General features: G+C 37.2%; 1 protein-coding gene across 1 annotated transcript in view; it reads left to right on the forward strand.

Moving 5' to 3' along the window:
• TTLL5 (tubulin tyrosine ligase like 5) overlaps positions 1 to 25,056 on the forward strand; it is a 293,834-nt gene that overhangs the window by 67,508 nt on the left and 201,270 nt on the right. Inside the window, exons 13-18 of the mRNA NM_015072.5 lie at positions 3,585 to 3,666; positions 5,236 to 5,297; positions 6,442 to 6,536; positions 16,342 to 16,455; positions 16,737 to 16,828; positions 24,140 to 24,202. Of these exons, the coding sequence (NP_055887.3) occupies positions 3,585 to 3,666; positions 5,236 to 5,297; positions 6,442 to 6,536; positions 16,342 to 16,455; positions 16,737 to 16,828; positions 24,140 to 24,202 (508 nt within the window). The remainder of the gene's footprint in view (positions 1 to 3,584; positions 3,667 to 5,235; positions 5,298 to 6,441; positions 6,537 to 16,341; positions 16,456 to 16,736; positions 16,829 to 24,139; positions 24,203 to 25,056) is intronic.

Below are 25,056 nucleotides of genomic sequence, written 5' to 3' on the forward strand. Positions count from 1 at the left end.
AAGGAAGGAGACCTGAGAGTGTCACCCTGAGCAAACCTACCATTGAATATCTGGGTAGAAGAGAAGGAAGGAAAGGAGGAGTGGAAAGGGGAGAATCAGAAGAGAGCAGTGTCCTAGAACCCAAGGGAGAAGAAAGCTCCAGTAAGTCAGGGGTGGTCATCAGTTTCAGATGTTTGGGCTTAGCAATAAGGTAGTCTTTGGTGATCATATTGAGAACAGTCAGTTATTAGAGAGGGAGCAGAAGCAAATTCTTAGGGCTGGGAATAAATAGGTATTAAGAAGTTCAGACGTTAAGTGTAGATTGCTTTTTCAAGGAACCCTATTAAAGAGGTAGGAAGCTAAGTTTGCTTTGGTTTGGCTAGGGGCTGAAGGAAATATTTCTTACTAAGGAAAATTGTCCTGGGGAAATGTTCCATAAGGCATGCAATAGTCCTTTGAAAACACTTGCTCTTCTGTCATGATAAAGACAACACAGAAAGAGGAGCTCTCAGAACTGGAAAAGCCCAGCTAGCTTGCACCCATTCATGACAGGAAAGTTGGTGTATCTCATTGTGGATACTGAGTTTTTAAAATTCTCGTTACTGCTGCCAAAACACTCAATATTAAAAGATGAGGAAGTTGATTATGCTCAGCACAACCTACTCTTTACCTTTTAAAATCTTCAATGCCCATAGAAAATACCAAATACCAATAGTAAGTTTAAAAGGTTCTTTAAGGACTCTAGTTGCCTGCCAAGGACCCAAATTATTTTTCTTAAGCTGAATTGATTGTGTTCAAAGAGGAAAACCTGATACAGAAGCAATCTTTCCACCCCATTCCCCCCACCAATGCCAGCCTTTGAGGTGAGCTGGGTTTTGCACTATGTTATAATGCTGTCACATACCAATATATATTTCTTCTCCAACTCTTAAATGATAGTAGGTCCAAGCCTGGTATGTGTACAGATGTAGTTAGATTCAAGGCTGGATTTTTTTAGTTTGGGCACCCTCTCTGTAGAGGTTGTTTAGCAGTAACAAGATTTATTCATCCAAATGAAAATTAATTTAGCTTTGTGAAGGATGTTTTCTCTCTAGGTCATTTTCCCCCCTCATATTTCCCAGAATATTGGTTCTCAGCCTGTCAACTGAGATTCTTGGAATTTGCCTCTGGTTTGGGGAAATGGTTAAGTAAACCTGTAGCTGCTTAATGCAAGATACTTAAATAGTGGGTTTCATTGATTGTTAATCTGATTTGAATTTGTCTTCATTTGTAGCTGATTCTGTAAACCTGATCAATATGTGCATCAATTACTATTTTCACCCTGTTCTTCTTACTTTTAATAATATTACCACTTTATGAAACAGTTGAATCCTGTGCTTCAGCTTTTAAACAATGAAGAGAATATTCTTTTTCGTCAATCAAATGTTGTATTCTCTCTTGCTTATAAAATGTTTATGTAGACTTGTAGATTTTGCAAGTAGATTTTTCCTTTTAAATGCCTTATTTAGTGCTATATCACAGATGATTTTTTCTCAGGTTAAAGGGGCAATATTCTAAAAGATTACTGAAGATTAGATCAGCTATTGAGAAGAATGTATTAGCTGTTAAAAGCTATGAATTCATTGCGAAAAGAAGAGATGAAAGAGCTTCCTTTTCTTTACGTTTTAATGTATAGGCAATGTATAAATTTTGTATAGTTACTTGAAGGTGATCCCATCTCAAACTCTTGTATAGTTTGTGATGATTTTTGCAAATTAAATGGAATCCCATATAATTACTATGGAAGCCAACTCATTCATGGAAAATTTTCCCTAGAGGATTTAGAATATGAATGTCTGAGTTCATACTGCCATATATCTGTAAATAGCATCCAGATATTGACAGTGATTAATAAAGAGGCTAAAGGAAACCAAATGATGCCAAAGAAATCTCAGAGAGAGAAATGATTTCCCCAAGTTCCACAGTGTAGAATCATGGGGACAACTAAGGTCTCTAGATTCCCATTCTAGGATTCTTTTTTTTTTTCACCCAGGCTGGAGTGCAGTGGTGCGGTCTCAGCTCATTTCAACCTCCACCTTCCAGTTTCAAGCGATTCTCCTGCCTCAGCCTCCTGAGTAGCTGGGATTACAGGTGCCTGCCACCACGCCCAGCTAATTTTTGTATTTTTAGTAGAGACGGGGTTTCACCATGTTGGCCAGGGTGGTCTCAAACTCCTGACCTCGTGATCTGCCTGCCTCGGCCTCCCAAAGTGCTGGGATTACAGGCATGAGCCACCATACCCGGCCTCATTCTAGGATTCTTAATACATCATGTAACTTCAGACTCCCTGTGTTCTAGAAGAGAGTTTTGGCGGCCATCTTTTTAGAGTCTATTTTTTTGTTTTCTGAGAGTATTGAGAAATTTAAAAATCCTTCTTGAAGCAAGGAAATTTGTATCAGAATTAATTTCTGGAAAATACCTCGTTGTGTTCTGTGGGTGTGAGCTCTGGTCTGTGACCTCTGATCAAACAGTAAGGAAGGTAGTGTGGTAGTGTTTACTTCTAGAGAAAAAATATAAGCAGTTTTTTTGAGGGTCACAGGATGGGATGTTTAGGAGTGATGTTTTATATATATATAGATATAGCTATAAATATACACATACATACACACACACACACACACACACACACACACACACACACACACACACACAGGACTGTACATTACCGTGATTTTTGTAGAGGAAGTCTCAGTAATAATAAGAAGGGTTTCAAAGTTAACCTCTCATCCCTGAACTTGTTAAATGAAACCAGGCATTCTGGGAAGAACACTTGCTTCTGGGTCTTGCTTTCTCTTTGCAACAGTTGGGAAGGTAGAGAAAGAGAATCAATACAGAATCCATAAACTTGATCTCTGGCTCCTACCCTTCTTAAATAATATTAGTAGTGCAAAGATACCTTGTCACACCTGTGCTCTGCTACCACTGATTTCTCTTTCCTTGTCTGTCTTTTGGTTCATGTTGGGCTAGAGTGTTTTATTTTCTGTCTTCAAAGGGAAATTGAAACTGTAGGAGAGGGGAAAGAATAAATACATTTATATGTCTTCTTGACCTAAGTTGCAAAAGCAATATCTTGGTTTAAGAAAATGTGATGGAAGGATTCTAGAGAAATGCCTTCAGGAGATGTTTCTGTTTTCAAAGTTGGCAGGGAGGGATTGGGGAAGGGAAATTCAGAGAAGGCCTACAGCAGTGTTGGTGTTGGTTGTGCTTGTTTCATTCCTTTCCCCGCCTCTTTTTTTTTTTTTTTTTTACGCCCATAAGCACAGCAGAATCGTGCTTGTTAACTATTCTAGAGTCAGGTCGCTTTCTATGTAGGATTTAGGAACATCAATAGACACTGCATGATAAAAACAGTGGAATTTTATAGCATTGTTTTCTTATTCCTAGAACTTGATTAATTTCTCTTGAACTTGAAAGATTCTTGAAAGATTCTCTGCTTCTACTTCCACTTGCTACTTACACTCAGTGAGTTTCTAGGCCTGGGAGTTAATGAGATTGAGTCTTCTAGATCTTTGTGTAGTTGTGACATGGAAAATGATCTTGTGTATTGTGTTGTGTTGTATTTCTAGAACTCTATGGCTTTGACGTGCTCATAGATTCTACTCTGAAGCCATGGTTGTTGGAAGTGAATCTCTCTCCTTCTTTGGCCTGGTAAGTCAGTTCCATCAACTAAAAAAGGACAAATCTTCAAGTAGTACTTAAAGCACTTTTTTTTTTTTGATCATTTCTCTTGGCACTAGAAGACTGTTTTTTTCCTAGTTATTAGGTGGAGATAACCAGACTTTCTTAAATCAGCTGGTTTATGGCATAATATCAAAGTGCATATGACAACCATGGATCTCTGTCTTCCTAGTCAATTTACAATTATATCATTCCTGTTTATTAGGTTTCTAAGGGATGATTCTTGCATTCAGTTTTATCCCTGTAGTTTTTTTAATAGTAGGTCTTCTATTAAGGGTAAAGAAATACATAAGGTATTTCCTTCATTACCGAAAGTTTTACAGGTTCAAATCCACATACACTATAAAGGTATAAACCTGGATCTAGGGCCATGTGGATAATATGTGGTCCTTTTACCCTGTCTCATGTTTAAAGTCATCCAAGTTTAAAGTCAAAAACTTCAAACAACTTAAAAATCTTTTTTTTACTAACCTATTGTTTAGAAGAAAAGAAACATATTTTTCAATACCAGGGAAAATTCTTATTATATTTGCAGCTACAGCCAGAATTTCTGTTCGCTGTACACTTCTCTAAACTGAGAACTCTAGAGATTTATGCCAAAGACCACCCAGCTGCTGAGTTTTTAAGGATGAGAGATATTGGCAAAATGCCAAGGAATCAAATAAAGACAGATTGACTACTTTTGGAGTGGGAGTTTGGCTTAACCTCCATAGTAAGGTGTAGAGCTAGATATTACAGATGCTTCAGATGTTATGCAACTTTCGTCAAGTCAGCCTTTTGCAGGTTGCCCAGTAAAGTATATTATACTATACTTTAAAAGTGAGAAATCCCCAGAACGAGGCACTGAGTATAGCGGCCAGAGCAGTTTGGTTCATGGAGGAACACCTCAGCACTGAAGCCACCGTGGCCGTCACTGCCGCAGGGAGGCCTCTTGCTTTTGGTCGATGTTGTTTTTGTTTTCATGTGGGTTCCCGCCCATCTGGTGAGATTTTGGTATAACTTGTATTTTTTTTTTTCTTTTTTTGCCGTATTTGCAAGCCTGCAAGCCTAAGAAATTTGTTTTAGAGCAGACAATAAAGACTTTAAAAAGTACCAGTGTGGCCAGAGTTGCTTCTCTTGCGTGTGAATGTGACTTGACTGTTGCAGCAGCAAAAAGTAATTTGAATGGTGGTGGACATACTCATAAAAGAGCATACTGAAAATCTGAACCTCTAAAATCCACAGTTTTAATGAAGTGGTATTCTTGACTTGTGCAAATTTTGAATTGCACAAGACCTTCTGGTATAAAGAAAATTGCATGTTAGAGAATCAATGGATGGTGCTGCGTTTGCATTACAGAGGACGAATTTAACACCAGGATTTCATTTCTCATATTTTTGCCCAGGATTTTTCCCCCACCGCCCCCGTGGATTTTATGGGCTTTATGTGTTGCTCTTCATTGACATTTGGAAACTTTGCTATATTGGGACCCATCAGAGGGCGGCTATTCTGTTAACCTACACACTTATCAATTGCTCTTTTCTTTCTCTGTTCTGTTAGTGATGCGCCTCTGGACCTAAAGATTAAAGCCAGTATGATTTCAGATATGTTCACTGTTGTAGGTGAGTAGTAGTATTTTCTGAACTGGACTCACATAAAAATTAACCGGAGCGTCCATTTTATCAGACTCCATAGGTTTTGCCAACTGGCAGGTCCTAAGCCATGCTGAATGGTTTGTACTAAAAAATTATATTTTCAGGGAAATGTTTATATGTTTCTACGACACTTGGCTCCATCCTGTCCTGAGGCTGAACCACAACTAAGGCTGAGACCTGAGGCACAGGAATTAGGAGCTGAGGAAGAGAATTAGCAAAGATCTGGAGAAAGTGTATTTTTCTCCAAGCTGGGAAAGTAAAACCCACTGAAGAAGCCTTGTTGCAAAGGAGACTGGCTATATTTCTGCTAGACAGTCTCTACTGGTCTCAACGTGATCCCTTCTGTAGTAGTTATAACCAAAGCAGCCCAAAGAAGAAATCTCATTTTAAGTAGATAAGCCAAAACTTTGAAGTGGAGATGCGCAGTCAGGTGGGTATTTTGTGGGCTTGTTGGTTTTTTTTTAGGTACTATAAAAAGACATAATAAAATATATTTGAAATGAACTAGTACCTGATGTACCAGCGAATGCTATAAAACTTAGCTACTCTATTCTCCCTGGATGGGAATCTGCTTCTTTTTAGGAAGTAAGTGAAATTAGCTGAAGTCCAATTTCCAAAGCCATAGATAATCTACAAAGCCAATTTTGAAAGTTGCCAATAGACCACCTTCTGCAGTTCCAGAAGTAGATCATGTAACAGGATGAGACTGTTCACTTGCTTTTGTAAAAATAACTTTATTTTCCAGTCATCATCCAGGTAGCCACTTTAAAGTAACTTGTTTTTATTAACAACTGTGTGTTTTAAAATGGTAATTTGCGGTTACTCTTAAGTTCTTCAAAAATCTACATCTCTTTCTCACTCAGAATCACATTTCAGCTACCCAACCAGCAAGGTTAATTCATCTGGAGATTTCCCTTTTCTTCTCTCTAGTTATGGTGGTTCAGAGTTCAGAGGGTGTGTGTGGGAGAGTTGTGCATTATGCTCCTGAGGATAGATCTCTGTGATATTTATGACAGTGAAACTGAGTTTGTGTATCTAAAGAAAAGGTGCAGCCAGACCTGCTAATTTCTTAGAAAATGGCAGGTTTTAATGTTGCCCATTCCCCATTCAGGATTTGTGTGCCAAGATCCTGCCCAGCGGGCATCAACTCGGCCAATTTATCCCACCTTTGAGTCTTCCAGGCGAAACCCTTTCCAGAAACCTCAGGTAAGCCAATTCCACAGCAGGGAGCCTGAAGGAGGCTTACTGGGAAGTGGCGGCTGATGTAACTGTGGGAGCAGAAGCACTGTGGGTATGAGGTCACTTAGAGCAGGAGAATTTGGGGATCACTCTAGACAGGAGGCAGTTATATTCAGCTGTGGCTAATAGCTTATGCTTTCAACATTTTCCAAGAAACTTACTCCCTGTTTTTTGTTTTGTCTTTTCTCTTGGCTTTTTTTCATTATCTTCCTTCTTTCTGTTTTTAAAAATCACGTTTTTTCCGCCTCAGATTGATATGCTCAGAAACAAGGCACAGAAAAGGAGCCTATTAATTCTTAGTCATTACTGCATTCTTTCTGATCTTCAGACTAGCTTTGTAAAGAAGATGCTTTGTTGAAATAGTATCTTCTCTACAAGTAATTCTCCTCAAAGGACCCTCCATGATCATGAGTTATTGATTGAGGCTAAATGAGATAAAAGCCCAAAGAAACTTATACTTGTCTAAAATATCATTTGATCAAGCATTGCTTCGGTCTTTGTGTACTCTGCATTTTTGTTCCAGTTAAACCAATCAGCTGATCCTTCTATTTACTCATTCCATCATCTTGTCAGTCCCTGTCTGTTTTGACCCTGCTAATTTTCCACTTTTGTTTCTTGGCCTTTAACATTTCTTCTTATTTAAAAAAAAATCCACTTTGCTCTTCTCTTCCCATCTGGTTTGATTGCTTTGCCTGCTCAGACATTTTGGAAGTCTTTTCTTATTAAATCCATCGTCACCTTTACTTTTCATTTTAACATTTATTTACTTGTTCTATATTACATTGTTTTGCATTCATTGATTTGTTGCTTTTAAATTGTTCTGTACTCTCCTGCCAGATTGTAGGCTCTTTGAAGGCATAAGCAGCTTTTTCTTCCTACTCCCCATTTTCTCTTTCCTTTTCTTCTCTCCTTTTATCCCTGCCCCAACTCCACTTTAACCCTTTACTCCTCACTTTTTTCCTCCCTTCTTCCACTCCCATTCCTGCTCTTGTTCCTTTTGCTTGCTAGTCTCATTTGGAGTAGTGCTATTTTCTGTTTGCGAAATCCATATACTATTATTTATTCAGATAATTTTTTATTAGAACAGGGTTTTCAAACTCAAATGCTTAGAGGGCCTGCAGGCAGGTAATATAAATGAGTAAATAGAGGCAGGCATAAAACAGCCAAGAGTGATATGACTGAGGTAAACTGGAGAGTGCATACCTCATCTGAAAGGGATGGCTGTTTTACTAATGTGCTCTAGCTAATTACTATCAGGCATAAGTGTGGGCCAGGTGTTATGAGATCTTGCTATTGTCAAGAGAAATCAGAAATCTTACTTTTAAGTATTGGCAGCCACTTCATTAGAAACAATACTTTGCAGGCCAAGCATAACATGTCTTTGAGCTAGATTCAGTCTATGCCTATCTATGACCCCGTGCTGCAGAATTATTCCCTAATTAATGTTGGGATGTGGAACAGGGTGTACTGTATTTTAAAGGCTATTATCTTGGATTAAATATAAAATCAGTTACCAGGGTTGTACTTGATCAGTGCATCATCAGAGATCAAAGGGTTTTCTTTAATTTTTAGTAAGAAAAAGTAGAGGATTAACCTAGGTGTACTAGAAAAACTTAATTTAGGCAGTCACATTCCTTTGCAAATTGTTTCCTGCAGTATCTGTGGCAAGAACCACAGAATTATGTATAAAGGATCATGAACATTTCTGTGCAGCTTTAACACAGTTTCTGCCAAGTTTCACTTCTAGAGGTAGCTGTATTGCCAGTCTTAAATGAATTGGTCCCTTTTCTTAGTTTGCCTGTCAGCTTTATTGGCAACTCTTTGCAAACTCTAGAAAATCTGTTCAATGCTTGTTTTGCCAACTGGTAGGTAATGGCATGATTACATCCATAAGCAGCCTACAGGACACTTACATAAAGGCTAAAGGAACTGTAGATTGGTCATGTGTACTGTGTGAAACCAGTTTGTCAGGTGGACTAGTTGACTTCAGGATCTTCAGTATCTGGCAGTAGGATTGTGCCCTCAGTGGTGAGAAGTTGAAGCTGGAATATATATGGCATAGGAGAAAGCAGTGTGAAAGAAAATAAATGTTCTAACCTTCCAACCACAAAGTGTAGGGCTCTTGCTTTTGGTTTCTGCTTGGAGATTATTTTTTCCTTTTTTATATCATAGATCTAGGAGATGGAAAATGTAGGCATATTAGGAGAAGATAAGGGTTTATTCCATTTTTCTGTCTTTTATAGCGTCCAGTATCTGCACAGTTTCAGTCGTCAAAGGCCAAGCAGGTAAGTTCTAGATCTTTTGGAGACTTCTTCAAATTTTATTTTCATTCTCCAAATGGAAAGTTTTTTAGCTTTAGTTTTTCATGGTACATATTTTTATGTACCTATTTTTTTGCGCAGTTTAATAACAAAGTGAATGAAAATGAATGCATAGAAGTCTTTTTGGTTATAGGATATAAGAGTAGAGGATGCAGGAACTTAGGGATCCTCTTTTCCTGATAGTGATTATACTGAGATGGAGACAGTTGAATTTAAATGAGGAACAGGGGCTTGAAGGCATATCTATCACTTTGACCAAAATAATCCAGGAAGGAAATTTTCCAGTTCACAAATGAACTTCAATTTTTTTTTTCAGACATCTTATGAAACATACTGTTGTCTATAGCTTAATATTGGAAATGTTTTCACATTGGGTGTAGGGTTGTATTTGAGTTCCTTAACAGGTGACATTTCAAATATGTAGTGATCTGCAGTTTATAAATCTTAGAAGCTCTGCCACAATAGTGTCTCAGATGCTACCTTTGAAATACAAACATCTTTCTTTCTGAATGATCAGCATTTGCTTTCTTACTGTTTTTGTTAGCAGTATTTGAGATTAACCATTGCTTTCTTCTGCACAGATTTAAAAAATTCTTTTTGAAGTAATAGGCTAGCAGTGGGGGTCCTGTGCCTGCTATTTGATGCTTTAGTATGAGGGATATAGATATTCTCATATATAAACGTGTCACTGCAACTGTTGTTTAGCAAAAAGCTCCAGTATATTTATTTTGGCGTTTGTACTCTCTGATGCAATTTCTGGTAAGCTTGAATGCTTGACATGTAACTTTTCTTAGCTACTGTTTCTGATAAAGTGATTTATATGGTTTATGTGAATCCAAGAAATGAAAAATAACTTACTGGATGCCTTGTCTAATATTTAGTAACTGATTAATGTGGCTCTGTAGTATGAGTTTTGGTGCTTAGTTGGTGGAATTCGAAACTCTATAATATGTAGTATTTTATATTTAGTAAATACCTAAGTATGCTAGTTGCTCCCATGGCAGAAAACAAAACAAAATAATGCTGTTGACTTCAAAGAGCTTATATTCTAAATATACCTGGAACTAATGTACTGAAAGGAGTACGTTAGGAAAGGGGTACTCTTTCATAGCCTGTGGCATTTGACTGTAAAGAAGTGTCTTTGATAGGTAATTCTAATTTATTTTTACTTACTTATTTGAGACAGCGTGTCACTCCATCACCCAGGCTGGAGTGCAGTGACGCGATCACAGCTCACTACAGCCTGGACTTCCTGGGCTCAGGTGATCCTCCCACCTTGGCCTCCTGATTAGCTGGGACTACAGGTGCACACCACCATGCCTGGCTAATTTTTTGTATTTTTGGTAGAGATGAGGGTTTTGACCTGTTACCCAGGTTGGTCTGGAACTCCTGAGCTCAAGCGATCTGCCTGCCTCGGCCCTCCCAAAGTGCTGGGATTGCAGGCATGAGCCACCATGCCCGGCCTTTGATATGTAATTCTAATCTTAATTTCTCATTATCAATTTTAATTCCATTACATCTAGTTGCATTGCTTGAATTACCGTAGGTTGTAATAGGCTTGTTGGAGAGCAAGACCTCTCTTTAGTAGTAATGTATCTGAATACTTGCTTACGTGACATAAAGCCTTTCTGGCTTTATTCAGCCAGCTTTATACATGTTGAATTCTTTGACTTTTATTGTACTTTGCAATGTTCTATTTTGTCATTGTCTTTCTGTTAACGAAGCACTCTTAACTTCACAGTATTTTCATTGGAGCTAAGTAAAAAAAAAAATTTCTTTGTTCTGACCAGTTAGACTGTGTCAAGCTTTCTTTTTCTGTTGCTGTCAGATTGTGAATTCTCTTAGTCCTTTGCCCTTTTTCTGCCTTTTCCTTTTTAAACCATTATCTCTATATTTCTCCTTTCTCTTTAATGTCTATGGTTCAAATTTTCCACTCACCAGAAATTGTATGGCATGGTACTGTGGAAAGAATATGGACTTTTACAGTCCGATAGACCTGGATTCAAATTTGAGCTCTGCCAAAAACTAGCAATTAGACCTTTGGGCAAGTTCTCTTACCTCTCTGAGGCTCAATTCCCACATCTGTCATATGGGGATAATAATATATACATGAAGTTACAGTGAGGAAGAAATGATAAAATGGAGGTAAAATATTCAGGATAAGTGCTAGACATGTAGTTTACACTAAGAAGATTTACTCCCCTTCACACTTTTGAGTCTTTTGATTTTCCCATTGTCAAGATCTCTTGTTATTTTGATATTCACCTGTTTGTAGTCATGTTTTTCACATTTGCCATCATCCACAAATGCTATTTTGTTTTTCCTTCCAGATGTTAATGAAGATTCTAAATAATGCTTAGTTAATACCCATTCCAGAAATCACTTTCTAACTTGATTCACTGCTATTTATCTTGCAGTTACACTGTTTTCAGTGTTTGTTGATGTGTTATATTCTGGCACTAACCCCTAACTGGAAATATAATTTAGAATAAAAATTTTGTGAAATTTTCTCAAATGCTTCTCTAAAATCCAAAGACATTTAATATATTGCTATAGTTCCCCTTTTAAAAATCTTGTCCTAAAAATGAAACTTTTAAAGCATGTTTTAAAATAAAGCATTCTTCATACTATTCTTCATAAGCCCATTATCCTCTAAGTTATTAGGGATTTTTTCCTTTTAATATTTGTTCCATTATTTTACTAGGGATTCGAGTTAGGTTTACCAGGCAGTAACCACCAGGAGCATACTTCTTACATTTTTGAAGATTAGTACCTCATTTGGTTTTTTTCTAAACTGGTACCTCCTCAGTTCTTCATGATTTTTCAAACATAATTATAAGTGGTTTGGGTAAGTTTTGTTTGTTTTTAAAGCCAATTTCCTTAATAACAGGATGCATGTCTCTCAGACCTGCTGGCTTACATTTATTCCAAATTTCTAGATGCTGTTACACAAGCCTACTTGCTTTCTCCCCTCCACCTGCCAATTTCAAAGTATACCCTGATTATCAGTATGTTTAAACCTTCTCTTAGAAGCCATTTTTTTGGTCCATTTCCATTCAGATTTATTGATAATGTGGTCTTTTCCATTTGTTTTCTTTCATTTGATAGCATTCATTTTACTTTTAAACTTGATTTTACCTGTTGTTTTTTAGATGGTAAAATGTATCACATATAAATTGAGCTATTTCTAGTTCCTTTGCTTTTAATGAAGAATTCCAAACTTTGTAAAACTGCATTGGGAGATTTTTATTCTTTGCATGTGTTCTCTGTCAAGCAAATTTTGTTTTTGCCCCTCAATTATGACATAGTCTTAGGATATCTTGCCATTTTTCCCCATTCCACATTTTGTTAAGTTCTTCTCATCATTGGTACTTGCCAGCTTTTTAAAGGCTGAGAGTCATTTTCTGATTCAACATCTGTTTCTTACTACTTTGATTGAGTGGAGACTGGTGGTTCCTTGTCTCAATAATTTCACACTTTCAGCCAGTTGTTCCTTAGCAATGATGGTTAGATATGTAAGGTTTCTTCTCTGGGAAGATTTCTGAATCGTAAGTTGTACTATTGATAAATTCATCTTTATCCTTGGTGCATGTTGCATGGCAGAATTCTTGACAGTAATTTGACAGTTTATAATTTATCTGAGCACTGGATATCTAAATCATGTATCTTTTAGCCAGAGGCAATGGTTCTCCTCTCTAAGTTCAGAGGACCTTACTTCCTTAGTGCATTCAGTCAACTCATGGGAATATGTGGATTTATTATATCTACCACCCAGAGAATGTAGTTGATGTGCCCAAAGGCAAAGCTGCAGAATGACTTGCGTTTGGACTGTTTTGCCCTTGTTTTTGATAGTCTTGGTGGCCTTTCAAATCAGTCTGATTCCTTTTTTTTTTTTTTTAACTTTGCTTTGTTTTTAATCTCCAAGTGTGTCTCCTTGACACTCATAAGCATTTATTTTCTTTTTTTCTGTCCATCTTATCCTTTCTTCTTCCCTTCTCTCTTTCTCTACCTTTTCTTTCACCTGTGTCTATAACTCAGGTCACAGAATTAGAGACCTTTCTCAGAGCTCTTAAATACCCCAACTAGAAGCACAGACCTGAATTCCTACATGCCTCTACCCGACCCCAAACATTCACAAATAATGTACACAGTAGCTAGACCTAGAATTGTAGGCTGTAACAAAGGAGTGGTTGTGAATGTATATGGGAGACAAGTCTTTGAAAGTGATTGGCAGAGAAGTTTTAAGAGTTTTGGGGTGCTAATTCATTGGTTACAGAAACCACATTAGGTTAGTAGGAGAAGGTTGCCACATCATTATCTCAATTTCTAGAAGCCAGGAATATTAAAAAAACCATTAAAAACAATACCCAGGAATTGGAAGTTCTCATTAGATGTCATTCAATAGTGATTTGACCCCTGTTCTTTTAAATACAGCCATGCATTCCTTAATCTGTTTAATAGTTAATAACTTTTTCTTTAAGTACTTTTAATTGACCTTTGATATAGCTTTTAGTTTATCAACCTTCTAAGTAACATTCTTTCTGTTCTTAAATGCTTAATAAAGATACCTATTTTTATTATATCATTTAAATGAATGTTTGTTTCTTACTCTCTCTTTACGTAATTTGAGATTTGAGGCTGTTTCTTACTCTCTCTTTACGTAATTTGAGATTTGAGGCCCTTAAATAGTGTCATGTAAGAAAGCTACTTAACTGTAGAGGACTGACTGCCAGTGGCTTTATTGTTTTGTTTTGTTTTGTTTTGTTTTTGAGACAGAGTTTTGCTCTTGTCACCCAGGCTGGAGTGCAATGGGGCAATCTTGGCTCAGTGCAACTTCCGCTTCCAGGGTCCAAGCGATTCTCTTGCCTCAGCCTCTCACGTAGCTGAGACCACAGGCATGTGCCACCAAGCCCAGCTAATTTTGTATTTTGAATAGAGACAAGGTTTCACCATGTTGGCCATGGTTGGTCTCGAACTCCTGACCTCAGGTGATCCACCCGCCTTGGCCTCCCAAAGTGCTGGGATTACAGGTGTGAGCCACCACACCAGGCTTTGCCAGTGGCTTTATGATCAGAGACATGCTGTGATGGGTGAACTAGGTAAGTATTTTTTGGCAAACAATAAGTAGTGTGTGATCATGAGAAAAGTCATCAAACTATCCATTTAATATTTTTGACTTTTTCCAAATTATACATTAAATAAGTGTTCACACTTTTTAAAGATTTATAAACAATGGTTATATTATTTATATTTGTTTCCTTCCTAAATCTTTCAACTTTCCCCTATAAACCCTCTCATTTTAACATCTACTGTTTAATTTATTCCCAGAGATTGAGGAAGTAAAAATATTTCCCAAAATCCTTCTGCAAAGTTTACTTCTAGCCATGATTGATGTCAGCACTTTCACGTATTTGTTTGTTCAACCAATATTTCTTGATTGACTTCATGCCAAGTACAGTGTATTGTTCTGGATGTTGAAGATACCACAGTAAAAGCCCCTGCACTTCACATGTTGCTTACATCTGTTGATTTCATCGTTTTCTTGATATAGATATCCATCATGGAGTTGCCAATCAGAAAATTTAGCTTTTATAACTCCCATGCTAGCTTTGGAGATTGGTTAGTTGGTCTCTCTTGTGTCCAAAGATAAAACCATCCATGGTTGGTTATTTGTGTACATGAATATATTAGTCTGTTCAGGCTGTCATAACAAAATGCCATAGGCTGGGTGGCTTAAACAACAGAAATTTATTTCTCACAGTCTGAAGGCTGAGAAGTCCGAGGTGCCGGCAAGATAGGCTTCATTCTAAGTCTTTTTTCTGTTGGCTTATAGGTCTCCATTTTGTTGTATGCTCACATGACCTCTTCTTTGTACACATACTAGCTGGGGTCTGGGGGAGAGAGAGTGAGATCAAACTCTCTGGCATCGCTCTTTTTTTTTTTTTTTTTTTTTTTTGAGACGGAGTTTTGCTCTGTTGCCCAGGCTGGAGTGCAGTGGCGTGATCTCAGCTCACTGCATGCTCCGCCTCCTGGGTTCACGCCATTCTCCTGCCTCAGCCTCCCGAGTAGCTGGGACTACAGGTGCCCGCCACCACGCCCAGCTAATTTTTTGTATTTTTAGTAGAGATGGGGTTTCACCGTGTTAGCCAGGATGGTCTCAATCTCCTGACCTTGTGATCTGCCCACCTTGGCCTCCCAAAGTGCTGGGATTACAGGCATGAGCCACCGTGCCCAGCCACCATCTCTTCTTATAAGGACACTAATCCCATTACACCAGGGCCCCACTCTCATGACTTCATCTGACTTTAATTACCTTCCAAAAGTCCCATCTCCAAATGCTGTCACATTGGAGGTTAGGACTTCAACATGAGAATTTTTGAGAGAAACCAACATTCAGTCCATAACAACGGGTGTTGCTAAAAAGGCCAAAAGTTAGTTACCACAATGCCTTTGAATAGATATTCTACAAATAGAGAGAGAGAAATAATACCTCGTGACAATGGGGCTGCTGCTCTCTGGTTGAAGTTACTTCTAAGAATCAAGAGGACAATTTGCACCCATGTGGGTGAATTCTTTCTTACTTTTTGTACTTGGCAGATTTGTCTTATTTTTGTCTGTCACTTCATCTATTTCAATAATAGTGTATTATTATGCTTTTATACTGACTTCCTTTTTTACCTTCCTATTTCTCCACTCGCATAAAATCAAAATCACTTAAAACTTGTGTTTTCAGATGACCTCCCTCATCATCATGTAGAAGCTGAAATAGCCAAGATCCTCTTCTGGGATCAGTGATGGACAGGGCCCATTTGGCTGCCTTCTTGGAGTACCCAGGGTAGTCACGTTTGTGCCAGGCCTCTTGAAGTCCAGCAACCACAGTGATAGCCTTTTGGCCACAGCTCTTTTCTGTGTTACTGATGTCTCTCATCTCAATATTTCCCCCTCAAATTGTAAAACATTTCACAGCCCAACTTTTTCATTTGTGATATAATAGATTGTTCCTTGGTTTTGTGTCTTATGTCTCAATTCTCTTAATTGTTCATCTCCTGTGCTAAAAATATACCCACTGAAATAAATACACATTTATTTTTCTATTGAGGGCATCTTCAGATTTTTCCATATCCTTGAAATATTGGATGTGCTCTAAAACCAAGGTTTGGGTTAAATACTAGCTTAGAAAGTCACGTGGACCTCATTCTTTCTTTCTTCTCTTTTCTCTCTCAACCCATAGTGTTCTTTTACTGTTCTGTTTTCTCCTCTTGCCTTTGAGTTTATTAGCTTTCGTCTGTTTTCCAGGGTTCCAGGCTGAGATTAATTACAGAAAGTGGGCTATGAATTTGAGCTTATAAATCTTTAGAAAAATAATGATGTTGAGGGAATGAACAGAGGGTAATGAGGAGTAATGAAAACTTAAAAAATTTTTTTTACTATTTTCATTTTCTTCTCCTTAGCGTTGCCGTCCACTCTCTGCCAGTGATGCGGAAATGAAAAACCTCGTGGGCTCAGCCCGGGAGAAAGGGCCAGGGAAGTTGGGTGGTTCTGTGCTTGGTCTGTCAATGGAGGAGGTAAAGATAAGTTCATTTTAGGCTTTTGTGGGTTAACACAGGGTTTAGTGAAAATTAGTGAGTGATTGATAATATTCATGACAAACTCATGTCTTACATTGAAAAGAGAAAGATTCAAGATTGGAGAAATGTTTTCTCAGGGAAGAACATTTTAAATGGAATTAATTTCTCCCTTCATGCTACTTTCATATTCTTGGGTCATAACTATCTTCCTTTGTCCTATAGCCACATGGACTCCGGTTTTCAAAATAGGTACTCATTTTATCTTATTTTTCATCTAGATCAAAGTTTTACGAAGGGTGAAGGAGGAGAATGATCGGCGAGGTGGATTTATTCGCATATTTCCTACATCTGAGACATGGGAAATATATGGGTGAGGTGACTACCTTTTTTTTTTATTCTTTACCTGAGGTCCATAGAATTAGATTAATTGTGATACACTGTCATCACTGCTCCCCCCGATGATGCTTTTCTTATTTTGTTTATTTATAATATGATAAATATTATCCAACCCGAGAACTAGATTATTGACAGTAATTTAATATACCTGTGTATTATTTCTCCCTTTTAATCCTCTGCCTCCCTCCTAACTAGCTTCCTATCCCAGGGTTAGGGACTGTCCTAAACTTTGTGTTTATCATTACCTTGATTTGAAAAAAAAAATTGTTTATCTATATGTGTATCTAAGCAATATATTGTTTTATTGAGATCTAGTTTATATGCAGTAAAATGCATCTATTTTAAATGTACAGTTTGAAGATGATTTTTGGCAACAATAGGCACCAGTTTAACCACTGCTACTGCCACAATGAAGATATAAAATATTTCCATCACCCTCGTAGCCCTCTTTATCCCCTTTTATATTCAATCCTCCACATGACCCTGGGCTTCAGACATTATGACCTGCCTTCTGACATTACAGTTTTTCTACAGTTCCACATAAATGGAATCATACAGTATGTACTCTTTTGTATCTGGACTCTTTTGTTCAGCGTAGTGTTTTTCATATTCATATGTGTTGGTTTATGAAGAATAGTTCATTATTATTATTATATACTATGTCATTGTTTGAATATACCAGAATTTGTTGAATATACCAGAATATACCACTCATCTTTTGTAGACATTTGGGTTGTGTTCAGTTATGGTCTCTTTTGAAGAAAGCCGCTGTGACCATTCATGTACAATTCCCAGCACCTTTAAAATGTCTTTTCGTCATTTTCAGGCTTGCGTTTTTCTGATGAGAAGCATACAGCAATTATTGTCTTTGTTCTTCTATGCATAATGTCTTTTTTTCCCAGCTTGCTTTTAGGATTATCTCTTTATAACTGATTTCCTCTTTTCTTTTCTTTTTTTTTTTTTTTTGGAGACAGTGTCTCACTTTGTTGCCCAGACTGGAATGCAGTGGCACAATCTTGGCTTACTGCAACCTTGGCTTCCTGGGCTCCACTTCAAGCTATCCTGCCACCTCAGCCTGCCAGGTAGCTAGGACTACAGGTACATGCCACTGTGCATGACTCATTTTTGTATTTTTTTGTAGAGATGGGGTCTCCCCATGTTGCCCAAGCTGATCTTGAACTCCTGGGCTCAAGTGATCCATCTGCCTTGGCCTCCCAAAGTGCTGAGATTATAGGCGTGAGACACCGTGCTTGGTCACAGCTGATTTTCAGCAGTTTGATTATGATGTGCCTTGGTGTCATTTTCTTCATGTTTCTTGTGCTCGGGATTCATTGAGCTTCTTCATCTATGGGCTTATAGTTTTATTCAAATTTGGAAACCTTTTGGCCTTTATTTCTTCAAATATTTTTTTCTAATTTTCTCCTTTCCTGTCTTCTTTTGGGACTCTGGTTACATGTTAACTTAGTTTATATTTTACCACAAATCTGGCTGTGCTCATGTTTTTTCAGACTTTTTTTTTCTTGCTTTCCTTAATTTGGGATGGTTTTGTATTTCTGTGTGTCTCTAAGGTCATTCATCATTTTGTCTGCAGTGCCTAGTCCTCTATTAATTCTACCCAGTGAAATTTTCATTTCAGATATTTTATTTTTCATCAGTTTTTGTGTGTCCTTTTTCTCTTTTTCATTATGTTCATGATTTCCTTTACATTTTTGTTTACATGTTATAATATTTGTAATAAATGTTTTAAAATACCTTTTTCTGTTATCTGTCATTTTGGGGTCTGTTTCTATTGACTGGTTTTCCTCATGTTTATGGGTCACATTTTTGTTTCTTCACATGTACAGTAATTTTTTTAATTGAATGCTAGACATTGCAGATGTTATATTGTTGAGTGTTTGGATTTTATTGCCTTCTTTAAACCCTTTTGAATTTTTTTTTTTTTGGTCAGGCACTTAAGTTACTTGTAGATCAGCTTATCTTTTTCAGGCTTATTTTTAAGCATTGTTATGGTTTGTTTATAGTAGCTTTTTGTCTAGATCCAGGTTAGTTCCTCCACTAAAGAGTCTTTTGAGGTGTCTGTTAAATTACCTCCACGTTCAATGAGATCTTTTCATTCTGTCTGGTGGGAACTCAATTTGCAACCTCATGTGAGCTCTGGGAATTATTCAGCTTACACCTTACCTTCTCCTTAATTTGTTCTTTATCCTGATAGTTGCACTTTGCTCAGCCTTGTGGACTTTCACCCTATACCTAAGCAGATTTGTATTCACCCAAACATTCAAGGGGTCCCTCATGATGATTTTTGAATATCTTCTTCTGCACAACTTCTTCTCCAGGACATTGCTCTGAAAATTCTAGCTACTCCCTAGAAATTAGATTTCTCTTGTCTCTTTTCAGAGACAGTTGGGCTCTATTTGCATTTCCTCTCTGTCTGTGTAGTCTGGAAATTGCCTTTAGGCAGAAATGTAGGGCAGTTGTACTTCGTGTATTTCCCTCTGTCAGAGATCACAGTCCTGTGCTGCCAGTTGTTTAATGTCTGAAAACAGTTATTTCAAATAACTTGTAAACTTTTCTAGCTGTTTATGGTAGGAGAGCGTGTCCTGTAACAGTTATCCTCTCATGTATAGAAGCAGAATTCTATTGTTTTGTTTGAATCACTTTTAAACTTTTTCTTAAAAAAAAAAAAAAAAAAGACATGTTCTATGTATTTTTGCTTTTTTCATTCAGCATTTTGTAATTCAGGTTCATGTTACATATAGTTACAGTACAGTTTTTTCAATGCTTTTGTATTTACTGTGTGTTTATATTGCTGTTAATTTTTCTGTTCTCCTGTTGTTAAGTATTTGACTTCTTTCTGGTCTTTTGCTGTTAAGGACAGCTGTGGTGCAGATATTCTTGTATGTGTCTGCTGGGCATGTATCTAGGAGTGGAATTACTGGGCCTTAAAATATGTGAGCCAGTAAATGGCCTGGTGCCACTCATTTCAGATCCGTTGCTGAAGTTTTTGTATAGGCTCAGTGCCTTAAGACATGTGAATGTTAAGCTTTAAAAGGTAATGCTTTAGGAAAAAAGATAAAGCTAAATTGTTTTCCAAAGTGGCTATGTAAACTATCAGCAATGCATAAGAGAGTCTGTTGATCTGTATCTTCTCCAATTGCAGTACTGTCAGACTTCTTAATTTTTGTCAATCTAATGGGAGTAAAATATCTTATTTTGGTCTTGATTTGCATTTCTGTGATTTCTAGTAAGGTTGACACTCTTTGTACTTGTTTATAGGCAACACACTTTCTTCCTCTGGTGACTGCATTTTGACCTAGTTGGGATGTTCGTGGTTCTAAGTATAGAGGTAGAACTTAGAGAAATAAAAGAAAAAGCCATTTTTAAAAATTTGCCTGCTTGTTTTGAAAACCTAGCTGTTCATAGAGAAATCGTCCTTTTATCTTTTAAAATATGCTATTCATGTAGTTATACCTTATGAAGACCTAGGAGTTCAACAGAAAAATATTACATGGGTTTTCTTGAAAATTATATATATATGTATATCTTTTGAAATGTTTTTTAAAGAATTTGAATTTTTGCATTTCCTAGAAAGTGTATCTTTTAATTAATGAAAGGGGGACCATTTACTTTTGAGTATTTCAAGATATAGGACCTTACTTTGAGTATCTTTTTCTATGGAATCAATTACAAATAATCTTGAGGTCTCTTAAGGAAGTCCAACAATGATACCTTTCTTTACTAGGTTGGTTTTGAACTAGTTGAGAAATAAAACAAGGACTAAAATAGATAGAAACCAAAATACTGTATTTTTTACTGATAAAGTCTAGGTTGGGGGAATTGATTGTAACTGTCTACAAGCAAATGCACTTCCTGTTGAGCTTCAGAATTGGACGGACTTATATTCCTATTGTAAGCAAGGTTGGTCTGAGCCATGTATGGGGAGTGCTGACCCTATAGGAGCAGTAGAGGATATGTATTTCCTAAGTGGGGATTAGCTCCCAGGAGAAAAAAGAGAGGTGCTCAGTGCATCATTTTCTGTTTATTTTTCCTAAATTACCAATCACATTGGTAAGTTACTCTAACTCTCTTGGTGCGTTCTGAGAAAAGAGGCTCAATTAATATTAATTGAACTGCCTTTACATAGAATGTGGGAGGTATGTTTATCTACTAACAAATATGCTATTTTATTAGTACACATATATTATCAACAAATGTCTACATTATGCTTGGTTCTTTGGTGTATAAAATAAATATTAGGTGGGCTCCCTGTCAGTTGAGAGTTAACAGTATGTTTATGGAAAATTATTTACACATATAATAAGAATAGCTTTATTACTTTATTCCTAATAATAATCTTAATAATAAGAATAGCTCATATTTGTATAGCTTTTTGTAATTTTAATGTACTTTGTATACTTCATTGTTTCACTCACATTTTAATGACAGGGATTCTAAGGCTCAGTAAAACAATGTGACTTGTCCGTAACCACACAGTGAGACTTGGGTCAGATATTCTGATCTAGATCTACTTTTTTCCTGCTGCATCATACAGCTTTCCTAGAACAAAAAGTTTGCTCTGTAGGCACAGGTTATGAGAGGTCCTTAGGCATACAGTAAAGACACGTTAGGGCATATCAGGGAAGGCTTTGTACAGCAGGGTGGACTTGACCTGCTTTTTGAAGGGTGTAGTACAGTAGAAAACTGCTTATCAGCAGAGGATTATCAGCGGAGGATACCTTCCAAGAGCCCCTGTGGATGCCTGAAACTGTGGACAGTACCAAACAGTTGACCCTTAAGCAACATGGATTTGAAGTAAAATTATACATGGATTCTCTTCTACCTCTGCCACCCCGAGACAGCAACTAGATCTTCTTCCTCCTCCTTATGATTTTCTTAATACATTTTATTTTCTCTAGCTTACTTTATTGTAAGAATACAGTATGTAATACATATAACATGCAAAATACGTGTTAATCCACTTTTTGTGTTATTGATAAGGCTTCTGGTAAACAGTAGGCTATTAGTAATTAACTTTTTTGGGGAAGCAAAAGTTATATGCGGATTTTTGACTCTGTGGCAGGGCCAGTGCCCCTAAACCCCACATTGTTCAAGGGTCAACTATATATACTATGTTTTTTACTATATATGTACCCATGATAAAGTTAAATTTATTAATTAGGCACAGTAAGATATTAATAGTAACTAATAATAAAATAGAGCAGTTAAAACAATATTCTGTAATACAAGTTATGTGAATGTGGCCTCTCAAATATCTTATTGTTCTGTACTTACCCTTCCTTTTGTGATGATATGAGATGGTACAGTGAGATGAGATGAAGTGAGGTGAACGCCATAGGCATTGTGACGTGGTGTTAGGCTACTGTTGACCTTTTGTATTCCTGAATGTGTGTAACCATCCCTTATTTGCAGTAAATGGCTTGGTGTCACTCATTTCAGATCCCTTGCTGAAGTCTTTGTATGGGCTCAGTGCTTTCTGGTGTGACACACTGCTGTCACTTGCTCACGTCTTCCACCCCAAAATGTAATGTCTTTTCCACCTGAGCACTTATCATGCACTGTGGCCATCACTTTTGCAATCTGAGGTGTGACAGCAAAACTAGCATGAATTTCTTTCTTCTTCACGATGTCATGGATAGAAAATTTGTTCTTATTTTAGCAGCTCCAGCATGTGATTTCTTTTTCCTTAAGTCAAGAACTTTTACCGTTTCACCGAAAGGAAGCACTTTACAGTTCTCTTTGGCATATGCAGATTGCCAGCCTCACTACTCTTATCTTTTGGGGCCATTATTAAGTAGAATAAGGATTCTTTGAACACAAACACTGCTAAGTGATTCATGGGCCTGGAGTGTCTACAGTGCAGAGACGCTGGACAAAGGGATGATCCACATTCCTGGTGGGAAAGAGCAGAATGCATGAGATTTCATCACGCTCCTCAGGACAGTGCATAATTTAAAATTTATGAATTATCTCTGGAATTTTCCATGTAATATTTTCAGTCTTTCGTTCACTGTGGGTAACTGAAACATGAGGGAGGACCACTGTATAGATGTAGAGGAGATATGGGGAGAAGATAACCAGTCAGAGGCAAAAGATCAGTGGGAGGTGAGAGAGTGTTACTGGAAAGGGATCCCGATCCAGACCCCAAGAGAGGGTTCTTGGATCTTATACAAGAAAGAATTCTGGTGAGTCCATAAGGTAAAGTGAAAGCAAGTTTATTAACAAAGTAAAGGAATAAAAGAATGGCTGCTCCATAGGCAGAGCAGCCCCGAGGGCCGCTGGTTGCCCCTTTTTATGGTTATTTCTTGATTGTATGCTAAACAATCAAGAAATAAGGTGGATTATCCATGCCTCTCCTTTTTAGACCATGTAGGGTAACTTCTTGACATTGCCATGGCATTTGTAAACTGTCGTGGTGCTGGTGGGAGTGTAGCAGTGAGGACAACCATTGTTCCTCTCACTGCCATCTTGGTTTTGGTGGGTTTTAGCCAGCTTCTGTACTGCGACCTGTTTTATCAGCAAGGTCTTTATGACCTGTATCTTGTACAGACCTCCTGTCTCATCCTGTGACTTAGAATTCCTAACCATCTGGGAATGCAGCCCAGTAGGCCTCAGCCTCATTTTACCCAGCCCCTGTTCAAGATGGAGTTGCTCTGGTTCAAATGCCTCTGACAAGAGGATTCTAAGGAGACTTGGCTGACTGTACTGCAGGATCCGTGTTGGGCAACTGTGTGGAGAAAGTGTGAATGAATTGATGTTACAGATGATCCAACTTTTGAAAGTTTGGAAGAGAAAGTATTTGCCTTAAGCAGTAGACATCGAGGAGCCACTGAAAGCTCTTAATTTGGGAATAACATGATTGAAACAGTCTCTTATCTACATTTTCAGGCCCTTTATGCATCTCCTATTCCCAGTTTCATTTGACCTATATATAAATTTTTGTTAATTTTTCTTTTATCTTTCAGTCTTATTTTCTGAATTTAGTATATTACCTATTATTAATCCAAGAAATGCTGGTTTTTCTTTCTGTTTTCTACATTAAATCCTCTTTTTCCATATTCTTTTTATTCTATTTGTTTCTATTCTAGTATCTTACGATTTAAATTTGAGCAACTGTCTTTTCCTTTGCCACTTTAGAAACAGTATGTTTCATTAAAAACAGTATATAAGTACCCCTGTTATTTCTGTGCTTGATTCATGGTTGTATTTCTACATTTTCCTCTTGAACTAGCTTAAGAAATAACCAGTTTCTTTCTTTGCTTTTCAGGTCCTACCTCGAGCATAAGACCTCAATGAACTATATGCTGGCAACACGCCTCTTCCAGGACAGGTAGAGATTTGCTAAACTTTAAATTTAGGACTAGATCACAAGATTAACAGAAAGTACATGTCAAAGAAGGAAACAGACCTTATAAAAGTCTTTATGTAAAATCTCTGCTAGAAAAAAAAGTCCTGTAGAAAGCATGCTATCATGACTCATTTTTCCAGAATTTATCATGAACTCTCAGCACTTTGTAACATTTCCAAAAGACAAAAATTTAACTATAAAGATCTTTGAGCAATTTTAACAGATGCCTTAAACTTTATTCTTCTTTAAGGAAGGCCTTTACTTAGTGCCATTATATTTTAGATGCAGTTTTAATAGACACGATTATCTGTTTTTCTAGACCTGAAGATACTAGAATTATCAGATTGGAAAAAGTGGAGGGGAGGTAATTCGTAAAATAAATACACTGAAACTTTTATAAGAAATGACAACTGATAATCTCAGTACAAGGGAAAATGGAAATGATGGAAAACAGACATTGGAATTTAAATAGCACAGCAATCAGGGCTGCTTAGTCCCACATACTTTTGTAGCCCCTGAAACATAACTGCATTGCAGTACAGTTCATTAATTGATTATCAAAATAAGGCACCCTAGTTATTTAGAGAAACCTATATTATTTTGAGGATATATGTACGTTTTTGAAGGATTCTTAAAATAGATACCCATGTTTTAACCATCTGCAATTTCATGATCTACTATCAGGAAATACATGGGATTTGCAATTTGTCTCTGTAAATTTGTGGTAATTACGATTGATTAATCACATTGTGTAGATTCTAAAGAAAGAGATCTTTGGATTTACGTAGAAGACAGAATCTCATTTCTTTATATGTATAAAACCTGTGGGTTTTTCC

The sequence above is a fragment of the Homo sapiens genome, chromosome 14 (assembly GCF_000001405.40).
Source record: "Homo sapiens chromosome 14, GRCh38.p14 Primary Assembly".
In the NCBI taxonomy this organism is placed as follows: Eukaryota; Metazoa; Chordata; class Mammalia; order Primates; family Hominidae; genus Homo; species Homo sapiens.